This window comes from Homo sapiens, chromosome 5 (assembly GCF_000001405.40).
Source record: "Homo sapiens chromosome 5, GRCh38.p14 Primary Assembly".
Classification (NCBI taxonomy): domain Eukaryota; kingdom Metazoa; phylum Chordata; class Mammalia; order Primates; family Hominidae; genus Homo; species Homo sapiens.
This window is the reverse complement of record NC_000005.10, coordinates 109882888-109903652: the sequence shown is the minus strand read 5'-3', so window position 1 is coordinate 109903652 and position 20765 is coordinate 109882888. Positions and strand designations below refer to the sequence as shown.

At 40.2% G+C, this 20765-nt stretch overlaps 1 long non-coding RNA gene and 1 pseudogene across 1 annotated transcript; one reads left to right on the top strand and one right to left on the bottom strand.

Moving 5' to 3' along the window:
- On the top strand, positions 18158–19567 carry PGAM5P1 (PGAM family member 5, mitochondrial serine/threonine protein phosphatase pseudogene 1; annotated as a pseudogene).
- Positions 18750–20471, bottom strand: LINC01848 (long intergenic non-protein coding RNA 1848). Its single transcript, NR_033175.2, has 3 exons — positions 20369–20471; positions 19683–19782; positions 18750–19216 (listed from the first exon to the last, which is right to left on the bottom strand). It is a non-coding gene; the product is annotated as a long intergenic non-protein coding RNA 1848 (long non-coding RNA).
- Between the last annotated feature and the right edge of the window lie 294 nt (positions 20472–20765).

The window sequence follows — 20765 nt, the reverse complement described above, 5'->3', positions numbered from 1 at the left end:
ATTACTTCTATAGATGAAACAAAATAAACTCAGAATGGTAATAGTCACTCATGTTTGAGTGTCCTGGCCAAGAAAGACACCTTCCTCTTTCCCAAGTCTTTATTGTAATCTCACCTATGCACATATATCCAGGACTAATTCTCAATCGGAGGAAATTTCTAAAAGGGCCAGCAAAAAGGAGCACTGCTCAGTCTTCATGCTCACAGCAGTTTCCTCCTTGAAAGTTTCCATGGCAGGGCCATCAACTGGGGCCAGGAGCAGTGGAGGAGCACCTGGAGGTGGAGATCTTTTCTTCCAGCCTGTCAGGGCTCTGCTCAGATGCCATCCATCTCACAGGCCCAGGGAGTGTTTAATGAAGCCGATTTGGATCAGTGGGGATTGGTGTTTAGGCTGTTCTCCAAGACTCCTAAAATGGCCGGGAAATGTGCCCATTTTTGGCTTGCTGTTGTTTTATTTTTAAATAATCTTCTTCAACAACTTTTTAGGTGCCTGTTCTATTGAAAGCTCTTTCAATTATTCAAATCAAGTCAATCAGGATTATTGAGCACCTATTCTGTGCCAGGAACAGCTGGAGTATACAAAAATCTGTAAGATGCTACTCCAGGAACTTAAGAAGGATGAAATAAAGTCACCAATAATGCCAAGGGGTTGAATACAAGAGCTATAAAGAAGTCATAGGTAAAGAACTACGAGAATTCAGACAAAGGAGACATCCTTTCTTGTTGGGAAAAATCAGAAGAGACATCATGGATAGGAAACAAGCATTAGACAGACCTTTAGGAATTCATTCACTTGGTCATTCAGTCAACAAATACACAGTGAATATTTACTATGTACCACGCATTTGTTAAGAATCGGATATACCAGAGGGATATAATCCCTGCCTTCAAGGCATTGGCATTCTAGCAATGAGAAAGTAAACAACTAATTATAGCATGTATGGATATTAAGAATTGAATGACCAGGATGAACTGATAGTATTAAGAGGGGTAGGAGGTATATGGTATCAGTGGGGGTGGGGGAGGTGCTTCAGAAAAGTGGTCAAGAAAGATCTTGCAAGGGAAATGATTTTTATTGAAGACCTAAAGACTAAAGAGGAGTCAGCCATTTGCATAGCAAGGGTAAGAATATTCATGAGACTGAAAGCAGAACGTAAACATTTCCTAAAATGAAAAATAATTTGGTGCTCTCAAGAAAGTCTCAAAAGGTCACTGTGTTCAGAGAATAGGAGCAATAGGCAGGCTAGCTTGCGACAAAGTTGGACAAGCAGGTGGGGTTCAGGTCTTGCAAGGCAGTTAGTTATGAGTGGAAGTCTTGATTTTCTCCTAAAAACAGCAGGAATTTTGACAGGTTTTATTCTGGGAAGTGGCATGAGGCCAGTCTGCAATTAGGAAAGAGAAGTCAAGTCAGAGTACCAAGTGGAGAATGGGGTGGATCTGGGAGGTGAATTAGAAAACTATAACATTGCTCCATTTGTGACAATGTGTTTTACACAAGGGTGAAGCTGGGAGACATAAATGTAGACAAATTCAAGATACATTTTGGAGGAAGAAACAATAAGAATTTACTAGACTGAGGTGAAGCAGGGCATTTACATAGATAAAGCAGCATAAACAGAAATTCAGAGGAGATAAATGGTAGGTCTGTGTGGGCTTCAGTGAGACAAGACCAGTGTAACTCTTTCTTGCAACAGAGCCCTGGGCCATAGAATAGCATTATTCATCTTTGAATGTGGAACTAGACCCTGTTTCCACTCCTTAATTCCAGCTTTAATTCCCCTTCCCCTGCTCCTGGTCTCCATCCATGACTCATTACAATAAAAAAAAGTACAGGTTGTAAGACTTCACAGATACCTAAGCAAACAGTGAAGCCAACATTCTCCAAAATGTATTCTGCGTGTCACTTGTTATATGAGATGCTTCTTGAGAAAAAAAAAAGTTGGAGAGCTTTGTGGTCAAATAAGTTTAAAAGATGATTTTCATTTTCTTTTTCTGGAGAGTGACAAAAATATTAACATGTAAACACTCTGAGATGTCCTTCAGTAAAGAAACTTACTTATCTTTGTTTAATGGTTAACCCACCTTTTTCCCAAACAAATAGGACCTTAGGCACCTTAGTCCATAGACCAACCCCAGGAATCCTGTGGAATCACTGACTTGGCCCACAGGACAAGTTACATAATTACCCAGTGCAAAATGAAAATGATGAGCCTTTTGCTTAAAAATCATTAAGAAATTCAAGACAGTGACAGCAAAGCACTAAGCCAAGTGTGGGGCTGTTCTACATGAGGGCTCCTCTGGGACTGCACAGAGCTTGCATGACCATGAAGTCAGCCTTGTAGTACCTCAAGTTACAGAGGAGGAAACAACCCAGAGAAGTAAAGTGGCCTCCCATGATCTCACATTAGGTAAACATTGACACCGGATCTTCACCCTGTGCCTTCTGACCACTTATAGCATACCAACTTGGCTTCTATAAGATGAACCAGATAATTTGGGGGATGGGCCATTTGTGACTGATGCCTCAGTCAGGCGCAACGGCATCATCTTTGGTTTTGCTCCTGCTATGGCAGGCACCAACCCTAAGGGGCAACCTCTGGCATGACTTGCCTCTAGCTTGTCTTCAAGCTAATTTCATTGCTTTTTCCTGTCATCACTCTGGTTTATTGTCACCAGTCACTGAACTTAATCACTACCCTAACAACAGTTCTGGGGATAATGTGTGTCTTCAAGAAATATTGTGAACTGCCTAATTAGAGATGAGTCAGAAAGTAAGGCTAGAGGAAGGGAGAAGACCATGATTATCTAATTCTCACTCTGAGAGAAGAAACTAAGTACCTTTGTCCCTGACTTACAATGGTTCAACTTCCTATTTTTGGCTTTACAGTAGTATGAAAGGCATATGCATTCAGTAAACACCATGTTTTTCATTTTTAATTTTGCTCTTTTCCGATGCTAGAGATATGCAGTGGGATACTCTCTTGAGGTGCTGGACAGCGGCAGTGAAATGCAGCTCCCAGTCAGGCACATGATGACAGTGTGCTGTGTTGCCAGCAATTTTTGGATATCCTGTTTCCGCATCCATCATGTCTACAAAATGCCCATCTGTGTCTCCTGCTTCTGGTGAGAAGAAGAGGAAGGCAATTACTCTTGAGATGAAACTCAAGATAATTGCCCAGCATGAAGGCAGCAGGCCAGTAATGGCCATCACACGTGAGTTGGGACATTCACAGTCCGCAATCATGACTTATCCTTTACATGAGTTTTTAACTTCCAATATTTTCAACTTCCAACAAATTTATCAGGACATAACCCCATTGTAAGTCAAGTAGCATCTGTATTTCCTATCCATATTCCATAAACCATTAACACAGGGTTGTATACATAGTGGGTGCACAAAAAAAGCGTCTCTTCTCCCTTAAAGGTAGGGAAGCTATAGAAATCCATGTGGAATCAGAATGAGGAAATGGTGGGGAAATACTTATGCTCTGTGAAACTATAAGGTGGATGATGCTGAGTTCTCCAAGAGTAAAATAAGGAAGGGCTTCAAAGCAGAGGATAAGAATGAGCTTTGGAATAGGCCACACATGTATTTCAAGGATAGGAAGGAGATGTGGGTAGACAGAACACAGGGACTTCAAAGACACAGCAAGAGGACATGGAGAGTGTAGAGGGTTTCTACTGTCTGGCCTTCTGTATTACTCAAGGTTCTCCAGAGAAACAAAACCAAAAGGTTATATGCATATATAGAAAGGGATTTATTGTAAGAAATTAGTCTGCATGATTAGGGCGACGGACAAGCCCCAAGGTCTGCAGGGTGAGAAAGCACACTGGAAGCCCAGCAGAGCAGATGGTGAAGCACCAGTCTGAGTCAGAAGGACTAAGAACCAGGAGAACCAATGGTGTAAATTCCAGCCTAAATGCATGCTGGCTCTAGACCCAGGAAGAGCTGGTATTTTGTTTTATTTATTTATTTATTTTGAGACAGAGTCTCACTCTGTCGCCCAAGCTGGAGTGCAATGGGGCGATCCTGGCTCACTGCAACCTCCACCTCCCTGGCTCAAGCAACTCTCCAACCTCAGCCTCTTGAGTAATTTGGACTACAGGCATGCACCACCACACCTGGCTAATTTACTTGTATTTTAGGAGAGACAGGGTTTCACCATGTTGCCCAGGGTGATTTCGAACTCTCAAGCTCAGGCAATCTGCCTGCCTCAACCGCCTAAAGTGCTGGAATTACAGGCGTGAGCCACCGTGCCCAGCCAAGAGCTCGTATTTTAGTTTGAGTCCAAGGGCAGAAAAAAGCCAGCGTCCCAGTTCAAATGCAGTCAGGCAGAAAGAATTCTCTGTTAGTTAGAGGAGGGTCAGCCTTTTTGTTCCATGCAGGCCTTCAACTATGTGTGACGCCCACACACATCAGGGAGGGCAATCTACTTGACTCAGTCTACCGATTTAAATGTGACTCTCTTCCAAAAACACCCTTAGAATAATGTTTGACCAAATATCTGTTCAAACACTGACCCAGTCAAGTTGACACATAAAATGAACCTCACATCTGCCCAACATCATTCCTTCTTATTTCTGCTCCATGATTCAATTTTCCTTTGGGGAGCCACCCCTTGCCTATGAGCAGTCTATGTGGGTGGGCTAGGGCTGACTCCAATTCTGAATTTCTAAGAATAGACATTGAGAGTATTCCAATGCCCTGAATAGAGTTACTGAGTTTGAGAGAGGCCAATGAGTCTCAGATCCTGGGACTTTGGCTGTAAACTGTTTGAAAAAAGGAAAATAAAATGAAAAGAGATGTTTTCTGCCAGGGTTGTTATGCTGAAAATGCTGGGCTCACTATGTGGAGAGGACTTACTTATGAATGACGCCAGCACAGAGGAACAGAAGTGAGAGAGAGCCCTGATGACACGGTTTGATTTGAGCCCCTGCTCAACTTTTCCTGGAGGTTTCAGTTGCATGAGTTACACAAGTTAGTTACATGAGTTTCATTTCATACTTAAGCTGGCTTAAGGTAGGTCCTTGTCTTTTATAAGCAATGAATTTTGACAGATGCTATGAGCACATTATGCTCAGAAAATAAGCCAACGGAATGGGCCTGCCTTATCTAAGGAGCTGTGAGCGAGCAGCCGGCAGCTCTGCTTTCTGAGTGGTCCTTTTGAACAAAGTTACAGCATCGCTAAAGGCAGATGAGTGAGCTTGACTTAGCTCCCGAGGCTGATGGTAAATCTATCAACTCCTAATGTCACACTATTAACTGGAATGATTCTAGCCCTGAAATCCCAACACGTTCACAATAAAAATCATCTTGTGCTATCTAATATGAGCGTAGACAGTGTACTGTCAGGACTGGGATTGGGGACAGTAAGCAGAGAGGTTAAAATCCATTTCTATTGCTCTGAGGGATGGGAACAGAATTTGGGACCAGGATGGTGCCAGGAATAAGTTAGAAGCATGGAATATGAAGGCAGAGGCACCAACATGTTAGTGCTAACTTCAAACAAATCCATGTGGAATCCTAGATAACTTCCTTTTCCCTCCCTCTTTCCCATCTCTCAGTTTGCTTTTTCTTCCCCCTTTCCCCCCACAATTTTGAACCCTCTCCTGTTCCAAGCACTGTGCCAGACACAAGGGCTATGAAAACAGGCATCAAAGAAGGTTACAGGCTGGGGCTGGGAGGGTCACGTTGGTGGGGACAGAGCAAAGCATGCATGACTATTGTAGCACAACGCAGTCAGTGTTGGATAGTGACACAAGATGCTTTGGAAGCACAGTGAGAGAGACTCACCTGCCAACTGCAGGGATATAATCAAGGCTGCTTACCACCACTTTTGGGTTTCAATACCAGGCGAGTGGGACTTCAAAAAATAATAATTTTAAAAAATTACTCTAAGGATAAACTTGGAATCTTGTAACTGGTCACATTTTTTTTTCTTTGTTTTGATCACATCTAGAAACAATATATGATCTATTCTAAAGTAACTTTAGTTCCTTATGGAAATGATTTCATATGTTAACCTCACTCCTAAATTAATCTTAATTCTTACAAATGTTTTCATTTATTTTTATTCCACTGTACAATGCACATTTCTGTAAAATATTTCAAATTTGGAGGTAATGAAAGGTAAATAAGTAAATCATGTACTTATATATCTTAGTAACTTTTCAATTACTTAAAACAAGTAAGTTTTTTTAATGATCATTAAAGCATAGGTAGTAACTCTTTTATAGTAACCCTATGATCCTTGCTTAAATGAATAAAGTAGTATGTACTGGTTCATGAAAGTACAAATATCAATAGGACAGAACAAATATCCAAGAAACCAACACTAGTATATATAATGATTTAGTGTAAGATAAATGTAATATCACAGCTTAATAGGGAAAAGGATGACTCTTCAATAAATAGTGCAGGGATAATTAGATCACTATTTAGTGGGAAAAAAGTAACCTCAAGCAAATAAAACTTCTGATGGCTTAAAGAGTGAAATGTTTAAAATTCGCCTCAAATAAATGAAGAGAAATATATTTAATATTTATCAGATCCTTAGATGTGGAGTGACTTTTAAGGAATTACCCAATATAATAATCAAAATAGAACAAAATATGTTTATTTTTTATTTTATATGTTTTCTATATTTATTTTTATTTTTATTCCTATTGATTCCTAGGGCTAGCCCAGTCACTGGGCTCCTTATCATTAGATAAGTAATGGCAATATGCATGAACATATATAGGCAGACACACTTAGATTTAGTAATTTTGCTTCTCAAAATTTACCTAAAGGAAATAATCAGAGATTTGTCTAAAGATTGATAAAGATTCTCACTAAAGTTTAATTATTTAGAGAGGACATTTACAAATGTTTGACTTTTTAGGTATCCCAAGACTTTTTTTATATTTTACACAAAAATACACGCAAATATCCCCTAACATTTGAATACATTCTATTTCTTATATTGGATGATAAAGTTGCAGGTAGTGATGGATACCGGCACATACGCATATGCATTTATTTTAAAAAGAATACAATCAGCTCACACTCTTCTATAATTTATTTTTAATTTAAGTATATATTTATACTCATCCATCAATTTTTTATTGCATATCTACTAAGGGGAAGGAATACAGTGGTAAGTAAAAACAGTTGAACTCTACTATTGTGGGGTTTATGATGTAACAAGGAAGGAAGACATTACAGAAATAAGTCAACTAATATTAATGTAGACTCTCAAACGAAGTTAAGTGCTAAGGTTTGGATATTTGTTCCCCCAAACCTCACATGGAAATTTGATCCCCAGGGTTGGGTACAGGGTCACATGGGATGTGTTTTGGTCACGGGGTGGATCCCTCATGAATGGCTTGGTGCTATCGTCAAGGTAGTGAGTGAGTTCTCACTCTATTAGTTCCCAGGATAGCCAATTGTTAAGAAAAGCCTGGCGCCTTCTCGCTCTCTCCCTTGCTTCCTTTCTTACCATGTGATCTCTGCACATGGCAGCTTTACTTTGCCTTCAACCATAAGTGGAAGCAGCCTGAAGCTCTCACCAGAGTAGATGCTGGCACTACACTTCTTGTACAGCCTGCAGAACCATAGGCCAAATGAACCTCTTTTCTTTATAAATTATGCAGCCTCAGGTATTCCTTTATAGCAACACAAATGGACTAAGACAATCATCCCAAGGGATAAAAAGGTTGTCTTATGAGGTCATATGACAAATGAAACTGATCCCAAGTGTGGGGAGTTAGGAAGGCTTCCCTAAAGAAATTAAATCTGAAATATGAGTAGAACTTAAGTGAAAGTAGAGAGATGGAAAAGAACGTTCAAAAGACAGGAAATGGCCATCGCAAATACTCTGTGTTAGGAAAGAGAAGGCACATTCAGAAACTGGAAATGACTGGTATGACTTGGTCATAAAAAATGAGGAGAGAGAGTAAGAGAGGAAGCTTGAGGAAGACGTAGCATCTAGGCATGAAGAGCCTTGGTCATTACGCTGAGGATTTTGGTCTTTATTCTTTATCCCAAGCCCAGTGGATGTGTTAAAATCCAATTGAAACTTTGAATGGATTCCTCAGGAGAAGATGGCAATTAAGCACAGAGCATTACTTAGACAAGAGATGATGGTAACTTGGGCTAAAATGGTGATTGCATCAATCTTATAAATGAAACAGATTTTTTTGGAGGTGATACCAACAATGCTTTTAGTATGGATATGGGGATGATGTAAGGGAAAGGAACATTGCCTAAGTTTTATTCCTGTGCAACTGAATGAATAGAAGGTGGTACCATTCATCACAGTAAGAACAATGGAAAAGTACCAGTCTAAGGGAAGATCATGGATTCAGTCCTGATCATGTTCAAGTGAGAAACTTTTATTTCAAGTAGTTAAATGTATAAGTCTGGGCTAAATATTATATTTACATAATAATAGTAACTGAAGCTTTGAACTTGGTTGAGATTAAGAAAAAAGTATGACATGAGAAAAAGATAGACTCTAAGAGAAGAATGTCAACATGTAATTTCTGGGTAGAAGGAGAAGAGCCTGCAAAAGATACAGAACAAAATGGCCATTGAGGTAGGTGAAAAGCCTAGTGAGTTTTAAAATGTATCCGTTGCATATAGCATTATTGAGCTTATTACTGACTATAGCAAGGGCTGTTTCAGTGAGACAATTGGGGCAAAGTCATATGGAGTGAATTGGAAAAAAGACCAGGAAATAAAGAAATAAAAATGGTGAATATGGACAATTCTTTGAAGAGGTTTAGCTATTGTGCTAATCAACTTTTGCTGTGATAATAAACATCTTCAGGATCCTTGTAGTTTAGAGCAACAAACATTTGTTTCAGTGGACCAGCTATAGTTCTGCTGGGTTTGACTGGGCTCCACTCAACTATGCATGTATTTCCATTCTGGGATCCAAGCTGAAGGAGAAGCTACTGAGATATTCTGTGCTCATAGTGGAGGATAAAAATATGAGAGAAACCAAGTCATGGTATTTAAAGCTTCTGCTAATACATGAAAATGTGGCCTTGGCCAAAGCAAACGGCCAAGCCCAAAGTCCAGGTCACAGCAAAATTTAATTAAATAATTCCATAGCATTGCACATTTCAGTGTTTCCAATTTTTTCATTTCTAAATATCTTCAGTAAAGATGTATGTATAAGGAAGATGATTGCAGCATTGACTGTAAAAATAACAAAACCTCAAACTACCTATGAATAAATGCTCACCTACAACAGAGAGACACATATTCCTCCTTCAGTAGGCACAAAAGAAAGGACCATAACATGATGGTAAGGAATATGTAATTCTATTACACAGTAGGTAAGAAAAATATTCCAATCTATCATAGCTATGAAAGGTAGAAGAAAAATAAGGAGATAATCTATAGGGAGATGAGGGGTCTAGGGAGCTTTTTTATTCCCCCTTCATTTTTTAATATAGGAAAGATTTAGACATATTTAATATCATTAGGAAGAATCGAGTAGAAAGGAAGCAAACAACTTGCTGGAAAAAAAGAAGAAAAACTGATAGCATAACTTTCTTGAACCTGTAGAAAGCTATAGTTGTTAAAGCACAGGTCTGGCCTAAGATATCCAAGGGATATACGTCTGTGTGTTAAGAGGGGTTAACACATAGATATACGTGTGTGTGTGTGTGTGTGTGTGTGTGTGATGAAGGGTTGTGTGTATTGTACACCTTTTCCTAGTAAAACACATGTTGATTTATTTCATTTATTAAACAAGTGCATATATATTAATTTAGCTTAATTTTAACCATTCTGTGGTAGGTAAGCATTTAGGTGGTTTAAACTTTTGTTACTTTTACAATCAATGCTAGAATGAACTTCCTCATTATACATATCTTTACTGAAGATACTTATAAATGAAAAAATTGTAAAAATTTAAATGTACAATGCTATGGAATTATTTAATTAAATTTTGGTATTCCACTTAATAAAATGCTATGTGATATGGTTTGGCTGTGTCCCCACCCAAATCTCATCTTGAATTGTAGCTCCCACAATTCCCACATGTCATGGGAGGAACCCAGTGGGAGGTGATTAAATTATGGGGGTGGGTCTTTCTTGCACTGTTCTCATGATAGTGAATGAGTCTCACGAGATCTGATGGTAAAATGGGAGTTTCCCTGCACAAGCTCCCTCTTTGCCTGCTGCCATCCATGTAAGACATGACTTGCTCCTCCTCTTTGCCTTCCGCCATGATTGTGAGGCTTCCCCAGCCACATGGAACTGTAAATCCATTAAACACTTTCCCTGTATAAATTACTTAGTCTTGGATATGTCTTTATCAGCAGTGTGAAAATGGACTAATACACTAAGTATCCATTTAAAATCATTTTGTACAAGACTATTGAATGACATATACTGCAGGTCATCAAGCAACTTAAACAATGTGATAATATCTATAATATATATATACAGTTGACCCTTGAATAACACAGATTTGAACTATATGATCCACTTATATGCAACTTATATGTGGTTTTTCTTTCACCTCCACGACCCCTGAGACAGCAAGACCAATTCCTCCTCTTCCTCCTTTTTCTCAGCTTACTCAGTGTGGAGATGATGAGGATGAAAATGTTCATTACAATCCAATTCCATTTAATGAATGGAGAATATAGTTTCTCTTTTTAATGACTTTCTTAATAATATTTTCTTTTCTCTAGCTTGTTTTATTGTAAGAATACAGTATATAAGATATATAACCTAGAAAATATGTGTTAATCTGCTTATGTTATCAGTAAGGCTTCTGGTCAACAGTAGGCTATTGGTAGTCATCTTCTGGGGGAATAAAGAGTTACACACAGATTTTTCAACTATGCAGGGGGTTGATGTCCTAAACCCTGCATTGTTCAAGAATCAACTGTATATACATATATATATATATATATATATATATATATATATATATATACACATACACACACACACACACACACACACACACACACACACAGACACACATATATGTATACACAGAGTACACAGAAAGAGAGAAATTAGATAGTACACAAATATGTGTAATACATGTAGTTGATCCTGGATAGGTTGATTTTTGCTTTTCTAGGCTTTTCTGGATATCCACTCTTTTTCAATGGCCTTATAATACTTTTGTAATTGGGGGAAAAGTGAATGTTAAAAATGTGTTGCTCTTCACCAGATCACAGTAGTGCAGAGCAAAGCAGCACAGCAGAGAGGTTGAGAGAACCAGCCCTGAAAGCACCCCAGTGCAACCTTGACACTGGCCGTTACTGCAGGTATGCCCTCAGGCCAAGTACTTCTTCTCTGCCTCAAGGTCCTCATCTCTAGTATAGAAACAATAATTATTCCATCAGGTTTAGTCAATATTAAAGGGAAATAACAGGTTAAAAATACTAAGCTCAGTAAACTGGCTATAGTTAGTGCTTTAAAAATCTGAACTTTTGGCCAGGCATGGTGGCTCATACCTGTAATCCCAGCACTTTGGGAGGCCAAGGTGGGCAGATCACGAGGTCAAGAGATCGAGACCATCCTGGCCAACATGGTGAAACCCCATCTCTACTAAAAATACAAAAATTAGCTGGGAGTGGTGGCATGCGCCTGTAGTCCCAGCTACTTGGAAGGCTGGGACAGGAGAATCACTTGAACCTGGCAGGCAGAACTTGCAGTGAGCCAAGATCACGCCACTGCACTCCAGCCTGGTGACGGAGTGAGACTCCCTCTAAAAAAAATAAAAAATAAAAATAAACTGAACTTTTTTTAAAAAAAAAGATACTATCTTTTTTTATCACGGAAATTATCAGTGTTGGAAAGAGTGAGGTGAAACAGGTGCTTTAATATACTATGATGGAAGTGCAGATTGGCACTGTCTTTCTGGAAAGTAACTGTGCAATATATTAATTCTCTTGTTCCTGTAATCTCAATTTTTAGGATTTTTACCTAAGGAAACAGTGCATGATAAGTAAGAGATTCATGATATTAGGATTTGAATGAAGCCTTATATATAATGAGGAAAAACTGGAAATTTCCTCAACATTCAATCATAAAGGAATAATTAAATAAATTGCAAAGATAATGTAATAAAAAAGGAAAAAACTCATAAAATTATTTCAAAGTGACTTTTAAAAATTAATAATTAAAAAAACTTTAAAATGCTGAAAAATATGATTTCAGGAGTATATATGTCAATAAATATAATAACAGGTAGTAGGAGTGTAACTAATTTTATTAAGTAATTTGCAAACCAGTTTTTTTCACACTTGCTTACAATAAGTATTAGTTAATTTTATAGTCAATGACAAATTTTTTAAAATGTAGAGACATTTTTAAAATAAAGAAAATGTATTTCCTTTGTATACTTTATTGATCTTTGGAAAGGAAAGGAAAAAGGGAAAAAATCCTTTCTAGAGAGTATATTTCAACTTCTTGTTGCCAAAGCAATCTCAGAAAAGATGGTCTCACAGACTTCCATGTCATTCAGCAAAGCAGCCATTGAAGGGGTTTTGTACAGCCTGAAAACAGCCAGGGTCTCCTGAAGCTTGGAGGGGACTGGGTAAGGCAGTAACAACCTTTACTTTATAGAGGTGCACCCACCTGTATGGTCTTCTCACAGACTTTTCCAGCCAGGCCAACCTCACAGAATGAGAGAAGGTCAAAGGTTATTTCTAAACTTGATTTAACAGACCAGATACTGAGGAGCTGGATAAATGTGGGCCTGGCTAACAGGTGCTGCATAGAGGAGCAGGAAAAGCCTGTGCTTGGTCGACCATCTTATAAGCCTGGCTTACTCTTCAGGTTTCCCTTTCTCCCGGTTTCCTTCTAGTTGAGTAACCATAGAAAAATTACTTAATCTCCTTGAGCCTCAGTTCCCACAGCTATAAAGCAGAGGTTATAATCTCCACCTCATAGTGCTATGAACAGGGGTTCTATTGGGGCAGTGCACAGTGCTAACAGTTGTATTGATCGTTAAATTATTAAAATACTTTACTACGAGTTGGTGAATAACCACTTCTGGAGCCCACCCAGTGTTTCCCATGACCATCTATCCACACCTCTCCATTACCCTCCAACCAGAGACACAAATGGGGCCTTCAGGTCTCTACTCCAGCACTATTGCCGGTGCCGTTTGGATAACCTGTGAAGAAGCCATATTTGTTGTTAAATGTTTTGGATATTATCCCCGGTTGTGGGAATAAAAGATGAACAAGATGATTTCCATGGCTGAGATTGTAGACTGTAGAGATTTGGAACTTTTTTGCAAGAAGTATATACTTACAGCACACACACACACACACACACACACACACTCAGGTCAACAGGATATTTTTCTCCCATGAGACCAAGAAATCTCCCTTTGTAAGGGAAGAAAGACTTGAGGAGAGGGTTAAAGAGCAGTGAGCAGGATGACCCCCAGAGCAGTTCTCGTAGCTGCTAGACACTGCCTAACCTGAGCTCAGAAGAGTGGGCAAGTTCAACCATTCACTAAGCCTCATTATGAAATCATCAGAAGCGGCCTTCCTTAGCCCTGCTACTTGGAAATGAAAAAGAGATTTTATATTAAAAAACAGATTTTCTTAAGAGAATGTACATGGCCTTGGATTTTAATAGATCTTCTGAGAGTTCTTGACACTGGTAGAGTTTAAGAGCACAGCTTTTGGCCTATCTTGCTTCAAGGCTAGACTGCTAACTGCTCAGAAAAAAAGGCTCTAAGAAAAAACACTTTAACTTATGATTCTGGTCTTTTCTTAAGGGCATTTGTTCCATTCCTTAGTAAAGACAGGTCTAGGACAATCTGCTCAGAGATATTTCATAGAATTATCACTAATTCTGGGATCCCCCTCTTCCAATAATGGACAACCAACACTCCTCCAGAACTTTTTGTTTCATTTAGCTTGTATGGGATAATATTGAGGAAACGGGATACCAAAACTCTAAAACAATTTTGTTAAGAAAAACATTGTCTAGATTTTCAAGAAAGAAACACATTAGTGATACTAAAGTAAATGCAACTTACACAAGAATAACTTCTTTCTTGTCCTTGATTAGTGTTCTGTAAAGAATAGCATGTGATATTAAACTGGGGCAGCTTCTGGGAGCACTGGTACTTGGTTGGAGTGAGAGCTATACTAATCTGAGTGTATTTAAATTGGAAAGAATTTAGATTTTTTTTCCACGTGCTAGATTTCCTGTCAAAAATGTGACTCTCTTAAATGCAGTATGTTCTATTCATTCTCAGGCCTTCTAAAGTACTAGGGAAAACGAGAACAAGCCAAAATCTTGTGCCCATGTCTTTTTTTTGGAATTGAGTTTGCACACCTATTATATCACTTTGGAAACCTGATGTCCAAAAGGCCTCAGCACCTCTAAAGACAATTTCATGAGCTACTATTGTTTTGTTTCTTTCATCAGGCATCAGAAAACCTTCTGAACCTCATAACCAGACTTTGGATGAGGGCAACATGCACTTTGCACAGGTGTTCTGCCTGTGACAAAGGACAAATTAAGTCTCCAAAAAGACTCATCTGCTAGCTTTTTCTGGTGACTTCTATTTCAAGGTCTTCTCTCTCTCTCCCTAATTAGCCTTCCCAAATGGACTGTTTAATGCATAACTAATCTTGAACTTGCTCTTTTCTCTGACTGAAGAGAAAATTGCACTTCATTTTGTTGAGCTATGGTGCTTATGTTGCACATTTATCAACGAGTGATATTTTAGAATTCTAGATGACAGCTGTTCAGAGTTTCCTCATTGGCAATATTAGATTGGGAATTACTAATGGTGAATATATAAACCCTCTTTTACATGCAGTCTAATCAAAATTGTTCTAAATATTTAGCTTCCTAAATTCAAATTATTTTCCAATGTATATTAGTCTAATGAAACGTTCTTTTTGGGATCTAGAGGAAAGTTGAAAGCATTTATAACATTAATCATGTGGCCAAATGTGTAATTGATAACAATATAATTCAGTGTATTGATCTGACTGTCTTCTTAGCTCTGCATCTACATCATCTTAATTTATTTCCACTATTTTCTTTTTGACAATAAATATAATACTTCAAAAAATTTTGGTCTGAAATAAATGGCTATGCTTGTTTTGTGTTGTTTCATCAAAGGAATTTTTTTAAATGTTTGCCTTATTCTTCTGCTGCAAGTAAAGAAGTGGAACAAAGTAAGCACATACAAGCTGAAATACAACTGGCAAATAGAATTCACAACGTGCTTCCTTTCAGTGATTGAAACCACACTTCTGTAGGCAAAAACAAAAGGGTCTCCTCTGTCTCTGCAAGCAGGCAGAGTTCCCTTGAAGAAAGCAGGAATCTGCAGGGGCCTGGATGATGAGGTACCAAGGGGACCACGGGCCCAGGATATTGGAAAAATTTCTCTAACATCTCTTTCTAAGAACTATAGTCCTTACCTTTTTTTAAACAGGAATCTTGCATTGAATGGATAGCACAAACAGAAGTTAAAAATCCCTAAGTTTGAGGGTGGAGGGATATGAAGCAAGGAAATATCAAATTGGAAAGAGCTGCAAAATCAAAGAATGAGTGATGACATGAAATAGATGCTATGGGGGTGACTTCACAGAAAGTGGAGGCCCTTATCATGTAGGAGAGGACGGGAAAAGAGAAAGTCCCAAACATCAGGAAATTGCAGAGATAGGTGAGAGCTCAGAAGTATACACCATTTCCATCTAGTTGTACAGATCCGTAAATGAGATTTGGTCTCAGTTTAGGCCGAGGTCCCAAGGCAATAGGTAGAAACAACTGCTTCCAGGTTCCAAAATGATATACAAGGCTATTTATGGAGAAAGTGTAATGGATGTAGTCTAAATCTGGTTTTGCAACCCTTAGCCTCTCTCAGAAAAAGAATAGAAAATGAAATTAAATGCTTGGAAAATTGCAATTAGAGAAAAAAATGTATTTAGGAATAATTGGTATAGTGCTGAGTCTCAACTCTTCCTGCACTCTCCACTCCTGACTGGGAAAGGGATGAATGTTGCCTTCTCCTGACTTCAAATCTAGTGAGGAGACTTCAAAATCAACCACCAGGAGAACCTGTGATGTGACCTCTGATACCAGACTGGTATGTGACTAGTGCCTGAGAGATCTAAAGGTTAATTTTATGGCTAGGGCTGGATGCCTACCAGGTGCTCAAAGGAAAAATGGGCTACATCTTAGGAAGCAATGGCATTTAAAAATGGAGGTGTACCACAATATACCCAGGGGGCTGTCAGATAAAGGCAAAGTGATTAGCAGAAGCACGTGCCCACATCGAGGGAGACTTCCAGCAATGGATGTCCCCAAAGAACCTATGAAGATGCTCCAGGACAAAATCAACTGTAAATGTCTATCATAGATTGATGTGAGTCAATAAGGCTTCCTCCCAACCTCTTGCCTCCCCTCCCTTCCTCTTACCTTGTCAGGGACCTGGGAAGGAGGGCAGGGGAGAAGTGACAGAGTCATGAAGCCAATCACTCCCCGCTTGCTTTTCCACCTTGGGCCCTGACAGGCCAATGCTGGAGGAGGAAAGAAATTTTAACTTTGGATGAAATTTGGAGTTTTGGCTGGACATCCAGGTTACTAAACTGAGATTACTCTGGAGATTAAACTATGTAGAAGATATTTTATTTTCTAAGAGTAACCAGGAAAGTCAATGGCACCTGCCCCTCATTTCATCTGGGACAGAGAAGAACTTGCCCTCAGAGTGGTTGTGCTTGCAGCAGTTGTCAAAAAAATTGTTTTGATTGTCCCTTGTTTGTTCAATGCAATGCTGACATAAAAATGAGCATAAACATATAAACGGTAGGTGAAAGCCAGCTGTAGAATAACTCTAGAAATGAGAAAGCATTTCACTGAAGAGAAGTGAAATTTGGAAAGCGTGAAAATCTTCTGCAGATACAAAGGCAAGAATCTGCATTGCACTTAGGAAAACAGCGGAGTAGAACTAAAGGGACCTCTAGTAACTGCATCTGCTTCCAACTGTGTCTTATGAAAAATATTATCTCTGGGCCAGACACAGTGACTCACACCTGTAAACCCAACACTTTAGGAGGCCAAGGCAGGAGGACTGCTTGTGACAAGGACTCCGAGTTTGCAGTGAGCAATGATCATGCCACTGCACTCCAACCTGGGCAACAGAGTGAGACTCTGTCTCTCAAAAAATAAAATAATAATAATAATTTCTGGACTGAAAGCCAACTTCCTTTTCTGGGGGAAAACAAACATATAAACACAGAGGTTTATATGTTATATATTTAGAGTTGTCTGCTGATATGGAAATAAGTATTCCTCAGTTAACTCATCAAATAAAAGGGAGTGACATTTGTAGATGGACAACTGATCTCGGTTCTGGAGCTATGTGTTCCATAACATGCAGAAAGTTGGTGTTCCAATATAAAGCAGTCCTATGTATGAGTTTGGGTTACAAGTTCTTCCGGAATCTAATTATTGGGATATGCTGAAAATTCCTATGTCAAGGGACTGAGAATTCTCACCCCCAGCTGAAAGTGTTCACGAACCTTGCCACACTCATTTGAACGATAACTTTAAGAGAGTCATGGGGGTGGAGTATGGGAGGGGAATGGGCATCCTGTGACTAAAAGACAAGATTAACCAGCCTGGTATATCTCATAAACCATCCCCATCGTCTCTCCACTCTCCCTCTCAATTAACAAATTATGAAAGACTATTATTAGATACAATCTTGGCTCTTCCACTAACTAGTGGAGTAATCAGGAGCAAATCATTTGCGCTTCTACACCTTGGTTTTCTCATTTGCTAAATGAAGTCTAGGACTAGAAAAGTGGTATAGGTGGCACAAAACAGATCAGTTATTTACTTACTTACTTACTTACCTACTTATTTATTGAGATAGAGTCTTGCTCTGTCGCCCAGGCTGGAGTGCAGAGGCGCCATCATAGCTCACTACAGCCTTGGACTCCCAGGCTCAAGCCATTCTCCCGCCTGAGCCTCCTTAGTAGCTGGGATGACACGGACGTGCCACCACACTCCAATTTATTTTATCTTCATTTTTGTAGTCTCGCTCTGTTGCCCAGGCTGGTGTGGAGCTCCTGTATGGCTGGAATTACAGGTAGGCTTGCGCAACTGCGCCCGGCCCAACTCTGTTATTTAAAAGCATATCCAGAGGCGGCGCGCCTGCCAGGCATTGAGCGCCTGGGACCTGAGCGGGAGCGGGCGGCCCCGGGATCCAGCAGGTGCTGAGGTTGGCAGTCTGCGGGCTGGCCAGGGGCTTGGTCCCGGGGTTCTGCTTCGCTGGCACAGTGGGGAAGCCGCGCGCAGCCGAGGCGCCGGCCTGGGCGTGGGGCACGCGGCCGAGCCTCAGCGTCTGGGACCCCGACCGGGACAGGCAAGAACCACTGTCTCTGAACAACCTAAGGAAGAGGAACGTGGAATCTGGAGAATAGCTGGCTTCCAGGCTGGACCACTGCAGAGCCAAGGCCACAGGGCACACCCTCCTCGTCATGCGTTCCCAATACCATGTGGACGGCTCCCTGGAAAAGGACTGCAGTCTGAACCCACTGGGTCGTGAACAGGTCGAACTAACTGGACTCCGACTTGCAAGCTTGGGGTTGAGGTTTAATAAAATCGTCCATTCCTCCATGACCCACCCCATAGAAACCACTGGCTTCAGCAACAGGCACCTGCCAAGCGTCTTCAAAGGCCGCACAGACCTGGGGCGGGAACCCTCCTCGTCAAGCCAGCCTGGCAGCGTATCACTGGAAGCGGCCGCTGGGCATGCTATGAAGATGGAGTCCGGATCGAGGGAGCGCTCCGAAACTACATCCCTCGGGGGATGCCAAGCAGGGGGAGGATAATTAGGAGATCTTCCGATGTCACGCCAGTGTCATTCGCTGCAGATGACAGGACACAGCGCTGCAGTTTCCTCCCGAAGGCTGGCTCCATTGCTCCCTCAACAATGGCAGCATCACCCACCTGGTGATCCGACCCAATGGCCGAGTGGCGCTCAGGACCCTCAGGGACACGGGGTTCATGCTCCCTCACAGCATCACCCAGTCCTGAGGGCCCTCCGCAAGACTCTGCCCTCCTCAGCTCAAGACCTGGCTCTGGCTTTTCCTTCCCTCCGTCCTCCTGTACAGGCTGCATTGCAGTTACGTGCTGTTCTCGAGGAGGCAACAGACAAGTAGAAATCCCTCAAATGCTGCGTTTGGGTATTTGTTTCTGGCCCGGGCTGACAAGGGAAAAATTCAGATCAGATAACCTGACTTATTTGCAAGGCTTTCTATCTTACCATGACCTGCCAGGACGACCGTGTGGGGTTTAAGGTGAAAACTCAGACGAAACTCGGGCCTGTTTTGGGGACTGAATGAGTCCTGACAGAGGCCATCACTTGGACGACCACAGCAGCCCGTCGCTGAGGGTCCCCTGGGCTCCGTGGGCAAAGCCTTGTCAGGCACGAGGGTAACTGAGGCACACGGAAAAGAAGGGCATGGAGGTTTTGTTTACAACTCACTTCATTTCACATTCTTTTAATTTCTTAAAACCCTTGTGTCATTTAAATATTTATCCATTATAGATTTTCCCCAGCTGGATTCTTGCTTTGAAAACCAATTTCTCACTCCAAAGTTACAGATCCCTGATGATTCTGGATCTGAACTCATCTACGTTATTAGGCCTTTGAGGGCTCAAGGACTTACCAACCACACAGGTGACCGTAGGCAGGTGAGGGGTGAAATGAGTCTGCAGAGGTGGTGTGAGCTTCGACCTTCATGCTGGTCTCAACGGGGAGGCGATAGGCTGGTGACAGCCCAGCAGGAGGAGATTACCCTTATTCAATAATAAATCCCAGACTGACAGCTCAATCCTAGTTTGCTTCTGATTTTTTTTTATGCTTAGGGATTAAAATATTTAAACATGATGTGTCTATCCCAAATATTTAGTACAACCATCCTATTAATTTAGAAAAAAACAATTTCTACAACACAGTAGTGAACATTTTCTGCAGTCAATACAACTAATTGGGATAGTTAATCTATTTCTTTGTCAACTTTGGAAATGACTACATACTAAAAATTACTGGTTTAAAAAAATTAAAAAATACATAAAAAATAAAAACATATCCAGAGTCTATCACTAGAGATTTGTGATTCAGTTGATAAAGACTAGGGTCCAAGAATCTACTTGTTCATACATTTAAGCTGATTCTGATGCAGATGATTACAACAAACATTAAAATACACAACCTCTAAGGTCTCTTGCAATTTTAACCCTCTCTTCTGTTCTAGTCTGTCACAACTGTTTATCGCTCACTTAGAGAATACGTGGTGCCTTACAAAATCTAGCGTGCTCGATGAATATAATTTTATTTGAAATCCATACTCACAGGTTGCTGGAATTGGTTAACAAGGATTCCAGTCATCATAGCATATTATAGCATTCTGCTGGCTGGACATGGTAGTCTTGTTTTTTCTCTGGTCCAGGTTACTTAGACGGTTGGACTGAAAGATTCCCATCACTGTGAGATTCTATGATTCTGATTCTAATTCTATCATATTATTAGGTCTACCATTAGGAGTTGCTAAGTTTTCTCTGTTACTTGGCTAAACATATGTGTACTGCCTCAGAAGGCCTCCAGGAAGTTCTCCATGTGGTTAAGAATGTTGATGTTTATGGTTCAAAAGTTATACACTCAGAGTGAAAATATAACTTTATTTATTCTCTACTTGCTATTTAAAGATACCTCAGTTTTGGATAGTTCAAAGTTTAAGCTCCTTCTAAGT